Genomic DNA, 16,463 nt, shown 5'->3' with positions numbered 1-16,463 from the left:
CCTCACATTTCACAGGCAACTTCCAAACTAAAATAACAATAGAAAGAATGGCTTTCCAAAAACGTGAGTATAATTGGGCATGAGAAAGGGATTATAATCCAGGATACACATGCTATAACAGATCATAGGCATATCTGGAGAGATTGAGGCAAAGGGAACATTTTAAAGGCAAAATGTGAAAGGTTACACCAGTTGTTTTAAAACAGTTGTCTTTGGCTGCAAGGATTAATAACGAGGGTGGTGCCAGTACAAGGTTCAACAGGCAGTTGCCAGGCAGATGTCCTCACAGAAGTGTTCTTTGTGCAAGGTTGTAGTTTTCAAAAAGTTCTTGTGATAGTTCTTGTAATCAGGCAAATATGTGTGAAGACTCTCTTTTCATCACTTCCTGGCCCCATTTAGTTTGGTTTTAACATAAATGGCTTCATTTTGGTACTGACAACTCTCACATTTTCCCCTTTTGATCAAGATCTTTCTCTGAACGCACTGCTGGTCAATCAACCTGCAGTTAGGTTTTGATTGTCCCTTGGTGCTGGGATGGACCTGTCCCAGTTGGTTTGGTCCTATGTTGGAGGAACGTGATTGGTGACTAGAAACCAGTGTCAAAACCTTTTTAGCCAAGACAAGAAGGAGGATTACAGAGTGTCTCACAGGCTAATTCTGCCTGGAGTATATTGTTCAATTTTTTCAGCTTCATGGGTGTTGGTTATCATTTTGAAATGTTGCACCAGCATTATCCTATTAAATGTTGTACTTCTGCAGAACTTAGACAGGCAAAGGGTGCAAAGTTTAAAAAGGATCATGCAGAGTAAAAATAACAGCAGTAGGATGACACAAAACCCCAGTTTGGATAATGATGCTGAGCCATAATCTGGCCTGAAGGTAACACTTAAACAAATCAAAAGATCACAGTGGGGTAATTGAATCAGAAGAACCTGGAGGAATTCAGAATTCAGTCCAGATTCTAAGTTAATAATAAAAACCCCAAAACAATGAAGGATTACAGTCTAATAACAGGTATACTATAGTTTATTTGAGACATAAATTATCTCTACAGTTATCCAAATTTTACCAAAGATAATCAAAATAAGACCATTTGTTTGTACAATAAGTTTAGTTTCATTGAAGTTGGGCCTGATTATTTACATAAATGGAGCAAGAATAGCAATTGGCCACATGGGAATCTCAGATTTTAAAACCTCTCAAAGTTAAGGGATTATAGAGAGACTGAGGGAAACTGGCTGCAATTGGGTTTGGTTTGGGGGAGGTGAAAACATTTGTCCCCGTGCCATTTTTCAACAGGAAGAAAGGAAGAAGGAAACTAAGGAAGGAAGGAAAGGAGAAAGAGAAAATAGGCCCCTTATATAATCAGCAGGTCATATAAGGACCTGTCTCTATGGCATGCCTTGGTTTTGTTGAATGTAGTATTTCTTAAGAATAATGACATGGAATTTTCCTTGTCATTTAAAGATACAAGGCAGAGTATTTTTCAAAGTCACCACCACTTACATTTGAGAGTGCAGCACTTGGCCCAGTGGCTGGTCAGTCTACTGAATTTAAGAGAATGCTTTTCCTTTGTCCTCGTGAAAGTAACTACTCAAACAGCAAAGAATTAATATTAAATTACATAAAAATTTTATTAAACTAAGGATAAAAATTGGACATATCAGTTAAAGTCTGCAGGGATAAAGTAATGTTATAATCAGAACTTCTTCCTTTTTTTTTTTTTTTTTTTGCTGTCACCTTTGATTTTCAAAAAGCAAGAAGCATCCCAGTGGCAACGAGCATAGCCAGCAGCCAGAACTTGGTTTCTAATAACATTCTCAAACGAAAGGAACCAAGGCTTTGGAGAACTGGCTGATTCTAGGACTGGGGCAAGAAATATACGAGATGAAGCTAGAGCATCTGGCAGCGTTAGAAATCAAGGAACTTTCCTCCCTTCCCCACCAAAACCCCACAATAATAGGATATGTCAAAGATGCACAGGAACCAACTGAAAGAGTTCCTAGTGGCCAAAACTGGGACATTTTGAGCAATAAAATAAATAAAACAATATTTGATTGTAATTCAAAGTATAAAATAAGTATCTGTGAGTCCATACGGGTAAAAATAAAGTGATGAAGTAAATTAACAAATGGGGGAGAAGAGACAAATCTGTGCAGAAGAATTCCAAATAATTTACACGGATACTTCACCTTCAAGGAGGGATAGCATAGCTTCCCATTCCTCAGGTGTAGGCTACAAATAGTGACTTCCTTCCAGTATGGAAAGTTCAGTATGGAGAGGAATGGGGTAAAAGAGCAAATTTACTATGGACAGATCTGGTAATCAAGGTCAATATCAATAGTAGAAAATCATGCTGATGGTATGTGATGTGATAAAAATGGCACTTTACCTCTGTGGTCTTCCTCTCCCAAAACAAGAATCCCAGTCTTATTATGAGAAAAATATCAGACAAATCCCAATAATGGAGAGGTCTACAAAATATCTGTTAAGTTCTCAAAACTGTCAAGGTCATCAAAAATAAGGAAAGTCTGACAAATAGCCACAGCCAAGGGGCGTTTAAGAAGATGTGATTGCTACAGGCGATGATGTATTCTTGAACAGGAGAGGAACAAGAGGTTAAAACTGGGGAAATCTGAATAAAGTATGAACTTCAGTTAATAATAATGTATCAATATTGGACCATTAATTGTAACAAACCTACCATACTAATGTAAGATGTTAATAATAAAAAGAAACTGAGTGTGGTGCATGCAAAAGTCCTCTACTCTTTTTCATTTTTGCATACATCTAAAACAGTTCTAAAAATAAAGTCCATTTTTATAAAAGGCAGGAAAGGTGTTTGTTAAATTGCAAAATGACAGAAAGGCTGGAACTAGGGTGAGACAAGGGAAACACTAGCTTCAAGTGTAAAATTAAAGTCAGCACCAAATCCCCATGAATCAGCATAAATATTTCACTGTGATATTTTTAAAAACAAAATTAATGCAAAAAAATTATGATGAACCAAGTGTCAAAAATGTAAATAAAGACAGATCAGAATCAGTGGCAGGGACCCACAGTGGATCCTGAAGCAAAAGGAAAAAATTAGTAATGTAGGTCAGATACTAAATGTGTTTTCATTTGAAATTTTGGTATTTTGTCTATCCTGGCTGTTTTACAATTGTTTGAATTGTAAACATATTGCCATAGGGTATTACTTATGTTTTTTCCTGAGTTTTTCTTTTTTTTTCCATTATACTTTAAGTTTTAGGGTACATGTGCACAACGTGCAGGTTAGTTACATATGTATACATGTGCCATGTTGGTGTGCTGCACCCATTAACTCGTCACTTAACATTAGGTATATCTCCTAATGCTATCCCTCCCCACTACCCCCACCCCACAACAGGCCCTGGTGTGTGATGTTCCCCTTCCTGTGTCCATGTGTTCTCATTGTTCAATTCCCACCTATGAGTGAGAACATGCGGTGTTTGGTTTTCTGTCCTTGCAATAGTTTGCTGAGAATGAGGGTTTCCAGCTTCATTCATGTCCCTACGAAGGACATGAACTCATTATTTTTTATGGCTGCATAGTATTCCATGGTGTATATGTGCCACATTTTCTTAATCCAGTCTATCATTGTTGGACACTTGGGCTGGTTCCAACTGTTTGCTATTGTGAATAGTGCCGCAATAAACATAACGTGTGCATGTGTCTTTATAGCAACATGACTTATAATCCTTTGGATATATACTCAGTAATGGGATTGCTGGGTCAAATGGTATTTCTAGTTCTAGATCCCTGAGGAATCGCCACACTGACTTCCACAATGGTTGAACTAGTTTACAGTCCCACCAACAGTGTAAAAGTCTTCCTATTTCTCCACATCCTCTCCAGCACCTGTTGTTTCCTGACTTCTTAATGATCGCCATTCTAACTGGTGTGAGATGCTGTCTCATTGTGGTTTTGATTTGCATTTCTCTGATGGCCAGTGATGATGAGCATTTTTTCATGTGTCTTTTGGCTGCATAAATGTCTTCTTTTGAGAAGTGTCTGTTCATATCCTTCGCCCACTTTTTGATGGGGTTGTTTGTTTTTTTCTTGTAAATTTGTTTGAGTTTATTGTAGATTCTGAATATTAGCCCTTTTTGCTTAGAGTTTGTGCTCAGATGAGTGCCTCACTCAGCCCTAAGTGTCTGTCATGCTTAGACTTCATCCCCCTCTGCTCCTGCCACAATGGTTCCTTTGCTCTCCGTGGAACATCCTAGGCGTGCTCCTTCATTAGGGGGTTTGCACTGGAATCCTCTCTGTCTGAAATGCATTTCTTCCGGAAAAACACATAGCTTGGTTCCTCAGCTCTTCTCAGTTTATTGCTCAAATAGCACTTTATCTGAAATGTCTCCTGTGGCCACTCTACTCAAATATAGTGTCCCTCGTAGATCCCAGTTTTTCTTTTTTTGCTGTCTTTCTCTTTTAATCTCCATGGACTAATCACAATGTAAACTACTTTATATCTTACTTACTTTTAAAAATTTATTGTCTGACATCTACTAGATTGTAATCTTAGTGAAGGCAGAAGATTTGTTTGTTTACTATTTTTGTCTATTCTGTTTCCTGCCTGATGCATAGTAGTTTCTCAGCAAATATTTGTTGACTATTAAATGAATAAGTAAGTAGTTTAACCACCAGCAGTTCCACTGAAAGCCTTGATGGGGTCACATTTGACTCAGATAGACATGAAATGTAAAACATTTAAGAATCTAGTAGAATAGACTCAGTTTGAAAGACTAATTGAAGTTAAGGAAAGTTTCTGCAAAATGATGTTGGTTGTCATCGTTAATTTTTTTTAATATTGAATGTCTTTATTTGTAATGACCTTCTGCAAGAAAACAGTATCTGACCAGGATGCTCCCAAAATAACTTGAAGAAAAAGATGTCAAAATCGATACTATAGAATTCCAATATATCTGAAATCCGAAAATACACTTAACTAATAGCAAGTGAGGAAAATATTGACTTATTTTATTGCTATTGGTGTTATTGATTTTACAGAATTTATCCAGCAAGGACAAAAAGTTGCTAGAAATGTGAAAGTATCTGATTCTGTTGACTCAAAAAAGTCTCACTGATTATCTTCTTCCCCCCCAACAATAACATATTTCAAACAATTAAAAAGTATAAGTTGTAATATAACAAGCATTTAGATTCTTCCCAATCAGTATGTCAAATCATACTATTTTTCCATGTTTGCTGACGTTTTCCTTTGTGTTTGTTTTCCCCTAAGAAATAGACCCTAATTGATATGGTAGATCCTGTACTTCTCCTCATTTTCCTGATCCTTACTCACTGTCCAGTTTTCTTTCCTAAATTTGCTTTTAATCATACCCCTGTATATTATTATACTTTTATTACTATGTATGTATCCATAAACAATTTATAGTTGCTTTGCAATTTTAAAACTTTATATTAATTACATCATTCTGTATATGTTCATCAGAAACTTTTTTTGTTGTTAAATATGAGTATTTACCTGTTTCTCTGCAGCTACTATGATACACTTTAAATTTTTGTAGCAAGTCTTTGAAACTGAATGTGTATCTTACATTTGCAGTGTATCTCAGTTTGAACTAGCCATATTTCAGTTCTCAAGAGCCACATGAAGCTGGTAGTCACAATATTGCGTAGCTCAGCTCTGGAGAATGGTCATACACTACGTCTTGTTATAACTGTTAAGTGAACACCATCATCATCCTGACTTGAAGGGGCTGTACCTGGACTTACCTCCTAATTTCCTCACTTGTTAACCCTCGAACTCCCAGCCCAAGAATTTTTATACTCAATGAAGACCTCCTTTATCTTTCTAATGTCCATACTTTTTCTATTCTTTCCACTCTATCTACTCAATCTATAGAGCATTCTATAGATATATACAGCTATATATACCATTTTAGCTATTCCTTTTTTATCTATATTCTGTCTATTCTAATAACTCTTTTACAAATACCCTGTCCCTTGCCCCTCTCCTTTGCACTTGACCAGTAAAACGCTATCTCTAGTTAGACCCAACTCTTGACCTATTTGCTGTACGCCTGCACCAGAGCAGCTGACTGTGGCTAGAGAAAACATATGACCACAAGAATCTCAAGTGGGAATTCAGAATTGCCTTGAAATATACTGCATTTACCCATTCAATGGCTTCTCCCATTCTCTGAGACAGCTGTTGACATGTTCTCCTCTCTTCTCAAACTGATTATCTAACTCTTCATTTTAGTTAGAAAATAGAAGCAATCAGAGGAGAACAGCCTCATTTTGCTACAGCAAATCTATCAGTATAATGGCATCTAAATCCTGCTACTCTGCTGGTTCTCCTGTTGACAGGATGGAGACAGCTTGCTTTTATCTCAGGCCAGCCTCTCTTCCTGTGCTTGGATCCTATTCTGTCTCACTGACTCAAGGACCTTGCTCCTGCAGCTATTGCCCCTCTCTTTCCTGCATTATAACAGTTGCTACCTCTCCACTGGATCAATCTCAGCCGCATACAGAAAGGCTACAATGAATCACAAGTTAAAGCAAAAATGCTTCATAGACCTCAGAATCTCCTCCAGCAACTGTTTCACTTCTCTGCTTACCTTTTAAGCAAAATTCCTTTAGGGAGTTGTCTGCATTTGCCACCACTAATTCTTTGCCTCCACTTTCCTTTTTAGTCTCCTCTATTTAGGCTTTTGTCCCATATTCACTCACCATTCCCACTGGAAATTCACTTGTTAAAGTCACCAAATGATTTTCATCTTGCCAGAGCCAATGCAAAATTCTAGATCCTCATTTTACTCAAACATTTGGCACCTTTGACACTGCCACTGTACCCCTTCTTGAGACACTTTCTTTATTCACCTTCTATGATTCAACTTTCTCCTTATCTCCGCATTGACTGCTTCCTTTTCACTTTCTTAATGGATCCATTATTTCTTTTTTTCCTCTTAATTTTGGAGTTCCCCATGGCGTAGTTCTCAAAACTCTTCTCTCTAGCTGATCCCATTAAATCTCTTGAATACCTATACGTGGTGATGTTCCTAATATTTTTTCCTCTTTCTGAGCTCTCTCCAAAGCTCCAGACTCTTAAGTCCAACCCCCCATCAACATCTTCTCCTTGAGGTCTGAAACCTATCTCAAACATAACCTTTTCAGTTCAAACTTTTGATTCCATCTTCCCCAAACCACTCTTCCTTCAATGATTCATGTAAAAAAAGAGAAACCCCTGCAATTTGACTGATTCCTTATTTTCCCTCAGATTTAATTTCTAATCCTTCAGCAAAGCATGTGTGTCTACCTCTAAAATATATATGAATCCAGCCCAATTCCTATCATTTCCCCCTTTAGCTCTCTAGTCAGATTTCTTCCAACCCAATCCATGTCTTTCTATCACACATAAAATAAAATCCCAGTACTATAATATGGGCTGTAAACCCCACCCATGTCACTGACCCCATCACTTACTATTTTTCTCCTTTGCTTGTTCCAGTCCATCCACACTGATTTTCTTGCTGGTATTTGCATGTACCAAGGTTACTTCTGGATCAGGGATTTATACTTTCTAGTCCTTCTCACTTGTTCTCAAAGATTTTTTTTAGGTCTCCTCTCCAATGTTACCTTCCTGACCACCTTAGTTAACAAATAAACAAATGGCCACCCCAGCATTGGTCTTTTTATTTTAGTCTTGATTTATTTTGACTTGTAGCACCTATTGGCACCCAAGGTTACATTCTATATTTATTTGTTTACTTGTTTATGTTCAGTATCCTCTTCCAAAATTTTAGTTAGATACATGTATGGACTTAATCTATTTTGTTTATTGATAGGACATGACCCCTACTCTATGTTAGGACATAGAATGAGACCTCAATGCTTGGAACATAATGGATGCTCAGTAAGTAATTACGAATAAATGAATGACTCTAAGACATATTTTTCTCATAATGGTCCTTAATACCATAAATTATCACTGTAAAGTTTCACATAATTCAAATGTCAAATCATATTTGACAGAATTACAATTCTATAAGTCAGAAGCTTGTAATCATAAGGTTAGCAAGTAAGATAGGCATAGGCATCACTCTTTGCTTCAATTCATTCTAAAATTCTGTATTCTACTCGTTAATGCTTTTAATGTGACAGTGCCCATGCTTTAGTTTCTGACCTGAAAGAACAATGGACCAGTGATATTCCCTATTTCTTAGACAATAAAGTTACATTTTTGGTTGGGCTATTTCACCTCATCCAAAAGGAAAAATTACACCAACAGGGGAAAATTTAGTTGCAGGAAAAATTGTTCAATGGCAAAGGAATGGCAAACTGTCGCTATTTCTAGTTTTTTTTTTTTTTTTTTTTGGTGGAGTTTCACTCTTGTTGCCCAGGCTGGAGTGTAATGGCGCAATGTCAGCTCACAGCAACCTCCTCCTTCCAGGTTCAAGTGATTCTCTTACCTCAGCCTCCCGAGTAGCTGGGATTACAGGCATGCACCACCATACCTGGCTATTTTTTTTTTTTTTTGTATTTTTAGTAGAGATGGGGTTTCTCCATGTTGGTCAGTTTCTAGTTTTTATATTTGAGACAGACACACTGAAATATTTCAGTGTGATGTTACATGATTGCCTAAGACTTGCTTTAAAATAATCTGGAGCTCTGGGGTGATGGTAGTGATTATGGATGAAACAAAATTGCTGAAACAAAATTGCTGAAACAAAATATGCATCAAATTATTTTCCCTACTTTTGTGTATGTTTGGAAGTTTCCACACTAAAAATGTATAAATAGCAACAACAAAAATATCTAGGAGTTAAACCAAGTTTTCATGATACCCACAAATTAATACTTAAAAAAAAAAACTCCAAAATAACAAAAACAAACTCCTCTTACCTTGTATGCACTGTTTTCCAGAGAGGGCCTTAGACCCTGTTTGAAGTCTAACTGTCCCTCCTGCTCAGACATAATTTTGGCACCGTCATTGTGTGGCCTTAGAAATGGTCCTCCTGGATACTGAAAAGTCTGACCTGGCGGTGTTTGCAGCCAACTTTCTGAGTCTATCTCTGTGTTTGTTGTTGTTGGTAGTGATGGTTTGTTTGTTCATTTTTTGAGACAGGGTCTTGCTCTATTGCCCAGGCTGGAGAGCAGTGGTGCCATCGTAGCTCACTGCAGCCTTGAAAACTCCTGGGCTCAAGCCATCTTCCCACTTCAGCCTCCTGAGTAGCTGGGATTACATGTGCAAGCCACTGCCCTCGCATCTTTGTGTTCTGGCTTCTGATCAGCTGTCTCTCTTCCTCACCAAGTCGTTTTCTCTAGTGCAAACTTTTACCTTTCCATTCCAAGGTTATTTCTACCTCAGAAAGGCCACTTCCTTTCAATTGTGTCCCTGATAAACTTCTGGTTTGACAGACTATTTGCTATGGATGGCAGTGTCCCCACCCAAATCTCAGCTTGAATTGTATCTCCCAGAATTCCCATGTGTTGTGGGAGGGAGCCATGGGGAGGTAATTGAATCATGGAGGCCGGTCTTTCCCATGCTATTTTCATGATAGAGAATAAGTCTCATGAGATATGATGGGTTTATCAGGGGTTTCCACTTTTGCTTCTTTCTTATTTTTCTCTTGCCACCACCATGTAAGAAGTGCCTTTTGGGTCCAGGTGCAGTGGCTCACACCTGTAATCCCAGCACTTTGGGAGGCTGAGGCAGGCAGATCACAACGTCAGGAGTTCGAGACCAGCTTGACCAATATGGTCAGTCAATTAAACCTATTTTCTTTATAAATTACCCAGTCTCAGGTAGTATCTTTATAGCAGTGTGGAAATGGCCTAATGCAGACTAGTCCTAGCTAGCTCTATGGAAGGCAATGAAATTTATTCTTATTGTCTGTGGTCATGTACTATATACCAGCTAAATATCAGGAGGTTTATTATCACAGAAAAAAGGATGAACTACAATTGGATGATGACAATGAGCTTGCATCATTCTGTTGTGTATTATAAACTTGGATAATATACATTTGGTGAAAAATAATTATACAAAAATATCTAGAATAATCACATCATAATCAACTGGCTCTCATATACAGGTAGGGGTGTGTTTGTGTGTTTGTGTGTGTGAGAGAGAGAGAGAGAGAAACTCTTGAATGACTGAAAAACTCCCCCCAAAGAAGGGTTCAAAAAGGTTTGGAGAGCATCACTGAGGTAAGTCTGTAACCTCTCAGAGGAATGCCTTTAAGGAGGACATCAACAATCTGAGTTCTTAGCACCTGCTATGTTGCACTTCATACAAATGCACGATGATGAACATCACACTTTGTGTACTAGGAACACAACATGATTTCGTACCTGCATAATCAGATATGTGGTATAACAAATACCTTTTAAATTTTCTCATTGAAATAAGTGATCATGACTGTAAACAGATACTGGTATGATTGCAGGCTTTGGTAATACCAATGGATGATGCTGGGATGATTTGGGGTGTAATGATTTCTCCCTCCTTCTCCCCCATCAGCTTTGCCTCTGCTGCTGTTAAATGCTATCCTTTTAATCAGTCTTGATTGCTTTGCCTTGCACTGAGACTTGCTTAGGGACTCCTCAGAGGCACATTGTTTCATAGGAGACAGCTGTTCTTTACTAGCTGAGACTGACTGGAGTTATATATAGTGATGATAATAATAAATTTTCTACACGTACACACACACCACATGGGGACCCACTGATGAAAATTAGTGTTTTATGTGTATGTGATGCTTCCTTTGCATTTACAAATATTCAGCTTAACTCTCCCCCTCCAGCTGTTGCAATGAACCTGGTTAGCTCACAGAGCAGTCAAAAGTTGCACCCTCAACTTCCAAGATTCCCTTGCAATTTCCTAATGAAAATATTTACTGTTTAAGTTCCCCCTTCCAGTTCTATTTAATAGGAAATGATACAGATTTCTAGTCTTTTAGTTCTGCTTTTATTCTGTGAATATAAAGCAATTCCCACTTCCAAAAATGCATTATGTATGAAATTGCTATGTTTGTAAAGTTCAGCTACATTTTCTCTTCCTATGAGGCACTAGTGACTGTAAAAAAAAAAAGGAGCTCTTAGTTTAAAAACATTGATTCCCACTGGGAAGAAAAGTGGAATCAGTTCCTCACTAATGTGTTTGATAATAGTTCTTTGTTTAAAATTGCCAATCAAAGTTTCTTGACAGATTATATAGTAATTGAAATAAACGTATACTAGAAACAGATCACTTATTTGAAACAACATATAATAGAGTCTCATTATAATATAGTCTCATTTTAAAGCCCCCTCTCATGAGCCATGTGTGCCAGTCTCATCAGATCTCTTAGTTACAGTGACTAACATCCCCTCTCACTGCCGTATGGAACACGTAAAGCAGAAAATACAATTGTTCACACACTGGCATTTCAATAGCAATATATTTTGACGTTGACAGTAGCATTAAAGGGCATGATATTTACATGAAAGCAAGTATTCTTCAGGGCTCTGGCTTTTATTTATTTTTAGGTCTTTATATAAATGTTATTTTTTCTCTAGTTTTTCATATCCTTATGCTAACTTTTCATTGTCATTGAAAATCCCGTTGTTTTTCCTTTTGTTTTTTTCATTTTGGACATTAGCATACGATATCACAGCTTCATTGCAACCATAATTTACCCTACAGTATACCAGAGGAGTATAAATTGCAGCTATAATTTCTCTTTCTCCTGTTTGATTTCCATTGGGACCATTACAGCAGAGTGAACTAGATAGCCTTTCCCAAAAGAGGGAGCAACTGGTGTCTCAGTCTAGAGGTGATTGCACTGGCCCCATTGCATATGGTGCCCAAGGATGATGTGGCCAGTAACGAAGGGGAAAGTTGCTTCTCCTATTGAGAGCCTTCTCAGTATTCTTCCAGGCTGGCCTTCTTCTTCCTGTATCTCTAGCATGTACCTGTACCCCTGGCAGTTTTCTCTGGATGTGGTGTAGTAGAGACTGCACTGGTGAAGGCTTCTGCTCTGGTTTCCATCTCTTCTTATGCCAATTTTGATGTGATAGATGGCATCTCTGAGCTCATTGACTCATCTTTAAAATGGGTGTAGTGTAATGGAAAGAATCTTGGGATTAGGCAGACTTAGGCTCTAATTTCGGTTTTGCCTGTGACTAGCTGTGTGACCTGGAGTAGTTTCCCTCCTCTGAGGGATGTGAACACAATGTAGGAAGAGGGGCCTTTGAAGGGCTGGCCTCCTTTCAGAGGTTTACATTTCTCTTGTGCTTTCTTGCCCTACTAACCTTCCACCACTTTTGTGAGTTTGGTGAAAATGTTAAGAAAATAAGAACTAAAATGGATAAATGGTTTTTAAAAATTGAGGGGAATAAATATCTATATTACATTAAATTCATCACAGAATGAAAAAGGGTTTCATAGTTAAAAAATAGGAGGAAGAAAGAAAAGGGTAATATAGATGCTCAGAGTTTTACAAGATCTCATAGTTTATGCTAAGTGGCCTCCCAACCTTTGAAAAACTGAATGAGAAAAAAAAAATTACCCAAGACTTCAAGGAGAAGTTAAAGATAGTTGAAAAAATTTCATTAAGTAAAAAAAAAAAAAAGGACAAATATTGGTGGTTTTCTTTTTTAAAAAAAGACTAGAAATTGGCCAAGAAATTAAAGTTTAGAGAGAAAAGGGTAAAATATATGTGGTTAAAAAAATTAGAACACTAACATAAAGCAAAGTGGTTTTGACAATTTGAAAGCACTTCCAATAATATAGAAGTTAAAAAAAGAAGAACTTTCAGAAAAAAGCAAATATGTTAATAAGTGAGACATAATTCCATAACGCTTTTTCAAATGGCTTGGTGAAATCGATATTCAAGGTTTTTATTGTTTGTTTGTTACAAAAATATCTGTTTGATATAAAAAAGTGAAAGGATACATGCTCCAGTAAATTGCCACTAAAAAGGAACTAATATCTCAAATGAATCATCTGTAAAGTCAACACAGAGCGACCCCAATGGATCCTGCCACTAAAAAAAAAAAAATGCAAAATATTTCACAGTTAATAAGCACTGAGAAATTGTCAGCTTCTGTAATGGGTTGAATTGTGTCTCCCCAAAAATAGGTTGAAGTCCTAACCCCGGTACCTGTGAATGTGACCTTATTTGGACCTAGAGATTTGCGGATATAATCAAGTTAAGATGAGGTCATTAGGGTGGGCCCTAATCCAATATTACTGGTGTCCTTATAAGAAGAGGAAAATTTGGACAGAGACAGGCACCCACATGGAGAACACCATGTGGTAACAGAGGCAGAGACTAGAGTGATGCACCTGCAAGCCCAGGAACCCCAGGGATTGACGGCCACTGTCACAAACTAGGAGAAGACAAGAAAGGATTCTACCCAGAGCCTCAGAACTTAAGCCGCCCAGTTTGTGGTTCTTTGTTACTGTAGCCCTAGCAAACTCATATAACTTCCTTTTCCTTTCTCTTGTCTTTCATGACAGTGGAGTCCTGAAGGCAGGGTGGAGAGTGGTAAGTGTGCTCTATTCTGGGAGCAGGCAATAAGGGGGTGCATTGTTTACAGAGAATTTGTAAACAGTAGTAAAATTGGACTAAGAGGTGGCCTGCCCTTCATTATCACTGTGTGTCAGTAATTACAAACCACGTCAGTGATTGTCAACTACTTCTCCCCTCAACGGTGTTGTTGGTGTCAGATCTAAACATTTGCTGCAATTGTTGAATTTTTAAAATACATATGTAAGCTTCAAATTGGCACATTTACATTCCATATTCTTTAATAAAAAATCCATTCTACTTGGAAGTTAATTTGAACTCCCAGATACTCAGTTGGCCTGCAACCCATACAGACTTGGCCACTCTCATTGCTTTTGGAGTAAATTTCTAAAGCTTCAGAATTGCTTGAGTGCTTGTCAGGGCCAGCTTGTGTCTTCCACTCCTCTGATGCTACACATTCCTGTATTAAAACACTAGATTTACCCTAACCAGGCATAGTCCTCTAATTGTCAGGATGAAACTTGAGCTGCTTCAATTCTACCTCCTACGTAAACTTGGAATTTTTATTGGTATTTAAAAGTTTTCAATGTTGGGGGAGGAGGAGAGGGAAAAATGTGAAAGCTGCTAGAAAGGTTAGAAAAGACATGGATACTGATTACATCAGGAGGCAGGGAAATATTGGATAGAAGAGGGCAGCCCCTGGTGAGGGCCCCACCCTCAAGCCTGGACCTGCAGCCCAAAGTGAGAACTTTACATCCCCGTTTTCCCTCTCAAATGTTGCTTTTTCCAAAACCACCCTGGCCTGCCCTGCCCCCTATCCTGTACCTATAAAAACCCCAGGCTCCACTGACAGTGGAGCGGCAGAGAAGGAGAGAAGAGAAGAAGCAGACATCGGAGAGAAGCAGCTTGATTTCAGAAGGACTGCTTGATGGTGGGACCTGAGGATGAGTTTTGCTGGGGATGGCCAAACTCCAGAAGAAGAATACCTTCCCACTCCATCTCCTTTCCAGCTCTCCATCCTGCTGAGAGCCACTTTCATTGGCAATAAAATCCCCACATTTACTATCTTCAATTGGTTCATGTGACCTGATTCTTCCTGGATGCTGAACAAGAGCTCGGGATACAGAGGGCTGTCGTACTGAGCTGTTAAAAACTTAAGCTGTCCGCGGATAGCAAAGCTAAAAGAGCACACAAGCCCTCTGGGTCTCCAGGGATCATGGGTACCCCCCAGATGCTGCTGTGGGACTGCACAGAGTTCTGCTTCTGCTGGCACTCAGAAGGCCTCATCGGGGCCCCTGTACCTGCTCACCCGTGTGCTCCTGCTCCTGTGAGGGGTTGAGAGCTGTGGGCTGAGTAAACGAGCTACACTGTTTGCAAGTCCTGCGAAGGGGTCAGGGAAAATTTCCTGTTTAAATACTATTGTGATTTCAGGAATTTATTGTGAAATAGGACTTTTATGTGTCTCCACCAAACTTATTCTTGCATTTAAGATTTTTTAAAAGCAACTATTTGTAGGTCTGTAGCTTAACGTGCAAGAAGCTTTTCTAAAATAAAATAAAGTGTGATTCCATCAACTATGATTGTGAATAGATGAACGAATTTGATTATATTGTGCATTGAACATGAATATGTGAAGATCAATGTTGACTAAGTAATTGACAGATTCACAAAGTTAGGGCTGGAAATGTAGAAACTGTTATGTTATTATTCATCACAGTGACAGACCACTACATAGGCATTTTTTTGCCCTTTTCAAAAAAAATACTTTCTTCATAATTTAAAAGTACCAGTCCATTACTGTATTAGTCTTCTAGGGCTGCCATAACAAACTATGACAAACTGAGTGGCTTAAAACAACAAAATTATTTTCTCTTACATTTCTGGAAACCGACAGCTCAAAATCAAGGTGTTGGCAGGGTTAGGTCCTTTTGAAGGTGCTAACAGAGGATTCCTCTCATGCCCCTCTCAGACTCTGTTGGCAGCCTGCAGTCCTTGGCATTCTTTGTCTTGTAGACACATCAATCTGAAACAGGAAAGTTCCCTGATGCCCTAGTGGGACTTGAGACAGGGATGTGGCTTGTTTGCTTGGCCACTGTGTGCTCAAACCCCTTATGGGAGGGGGAGCACACAGACAGGCAGGTGCAGATTTTTGGGCTCCAGCCCCACAGTAGCATCTAGGAGTGTGTTACAATTAATGCTCTTTTAGCAGTTGCCATCTGTGAATAGTTAAGTGTTAAACCACCTCAACGGAGAGTCAGGGTGACAGCTGTTAACACCCGCCCTCTTGGTACCTGGGTCTTTGGCATCCAGGAAGAATCAGGCCACATGGACTTGAAGGATGGTGAATGCAGGGATTTTAATGAGTGGTGGAGGTGGCTGTCAGTGGGATGGATGGGGAATGGGAAAGGGGATGGAGTGGGAAGATGATCTTCCCTGGAGTCCGGCTGTCCCACAGCTGATCTCCTCTCCAAATGTCCCCAGCTGAACTTCTCTCAATGTTCAGACACTTCTTCTCTTCTCTCCTTCTCTGCTGCACCAGTCTGCCACTCTGCCACTCTGCTGCTCTTCTGCTCACAGAGCCTGGGGTTTGGGATTTATATGGGTACAGGATAGTTGGGCACGGTGGGCCAAGAGGCAACATTTGGGCACGAAAACAGGAATGCCTGTTCCCATTTAGGGCCATGGGTTTCCAGGTTGAGGGTGGGGCCTTTGCCAGGGACCGGCCCTCTTCTACCCAGTATTTCCCTGTCTCCTGTTTGTATCAAATCTATGCTTCCATCCTCACATGCGTTCTCCTCTGTGAGTCTTTCTCCTCTTCTTATAAGGACAAATCATTAGCTTTAGGGTTCACCCAGTTAATCCAGGATGATCTTATCTCATGATCCTTCACTTAATCACATCTAGAAAGACTGTGTTATTAGGGTGAGAGATGGGACATATCTTTTCAAAGGCCAC

This window comes from Homo sapiens, chromosome 5 (genome assembly GCF_000001405.40).
Source record: "Homo sapiens chromosome 5, GRCh38.p14 Primary Assembly".
Classification (NCBI taxonomy): domain Eukaryota; kingdom Metazoa; phylum Chordata; class Mammalia; order Primates; family Hominidae; genus Homo; species Homo sapiens.
Note: the sequence above shows the minus strand (reverse complement) of the source record.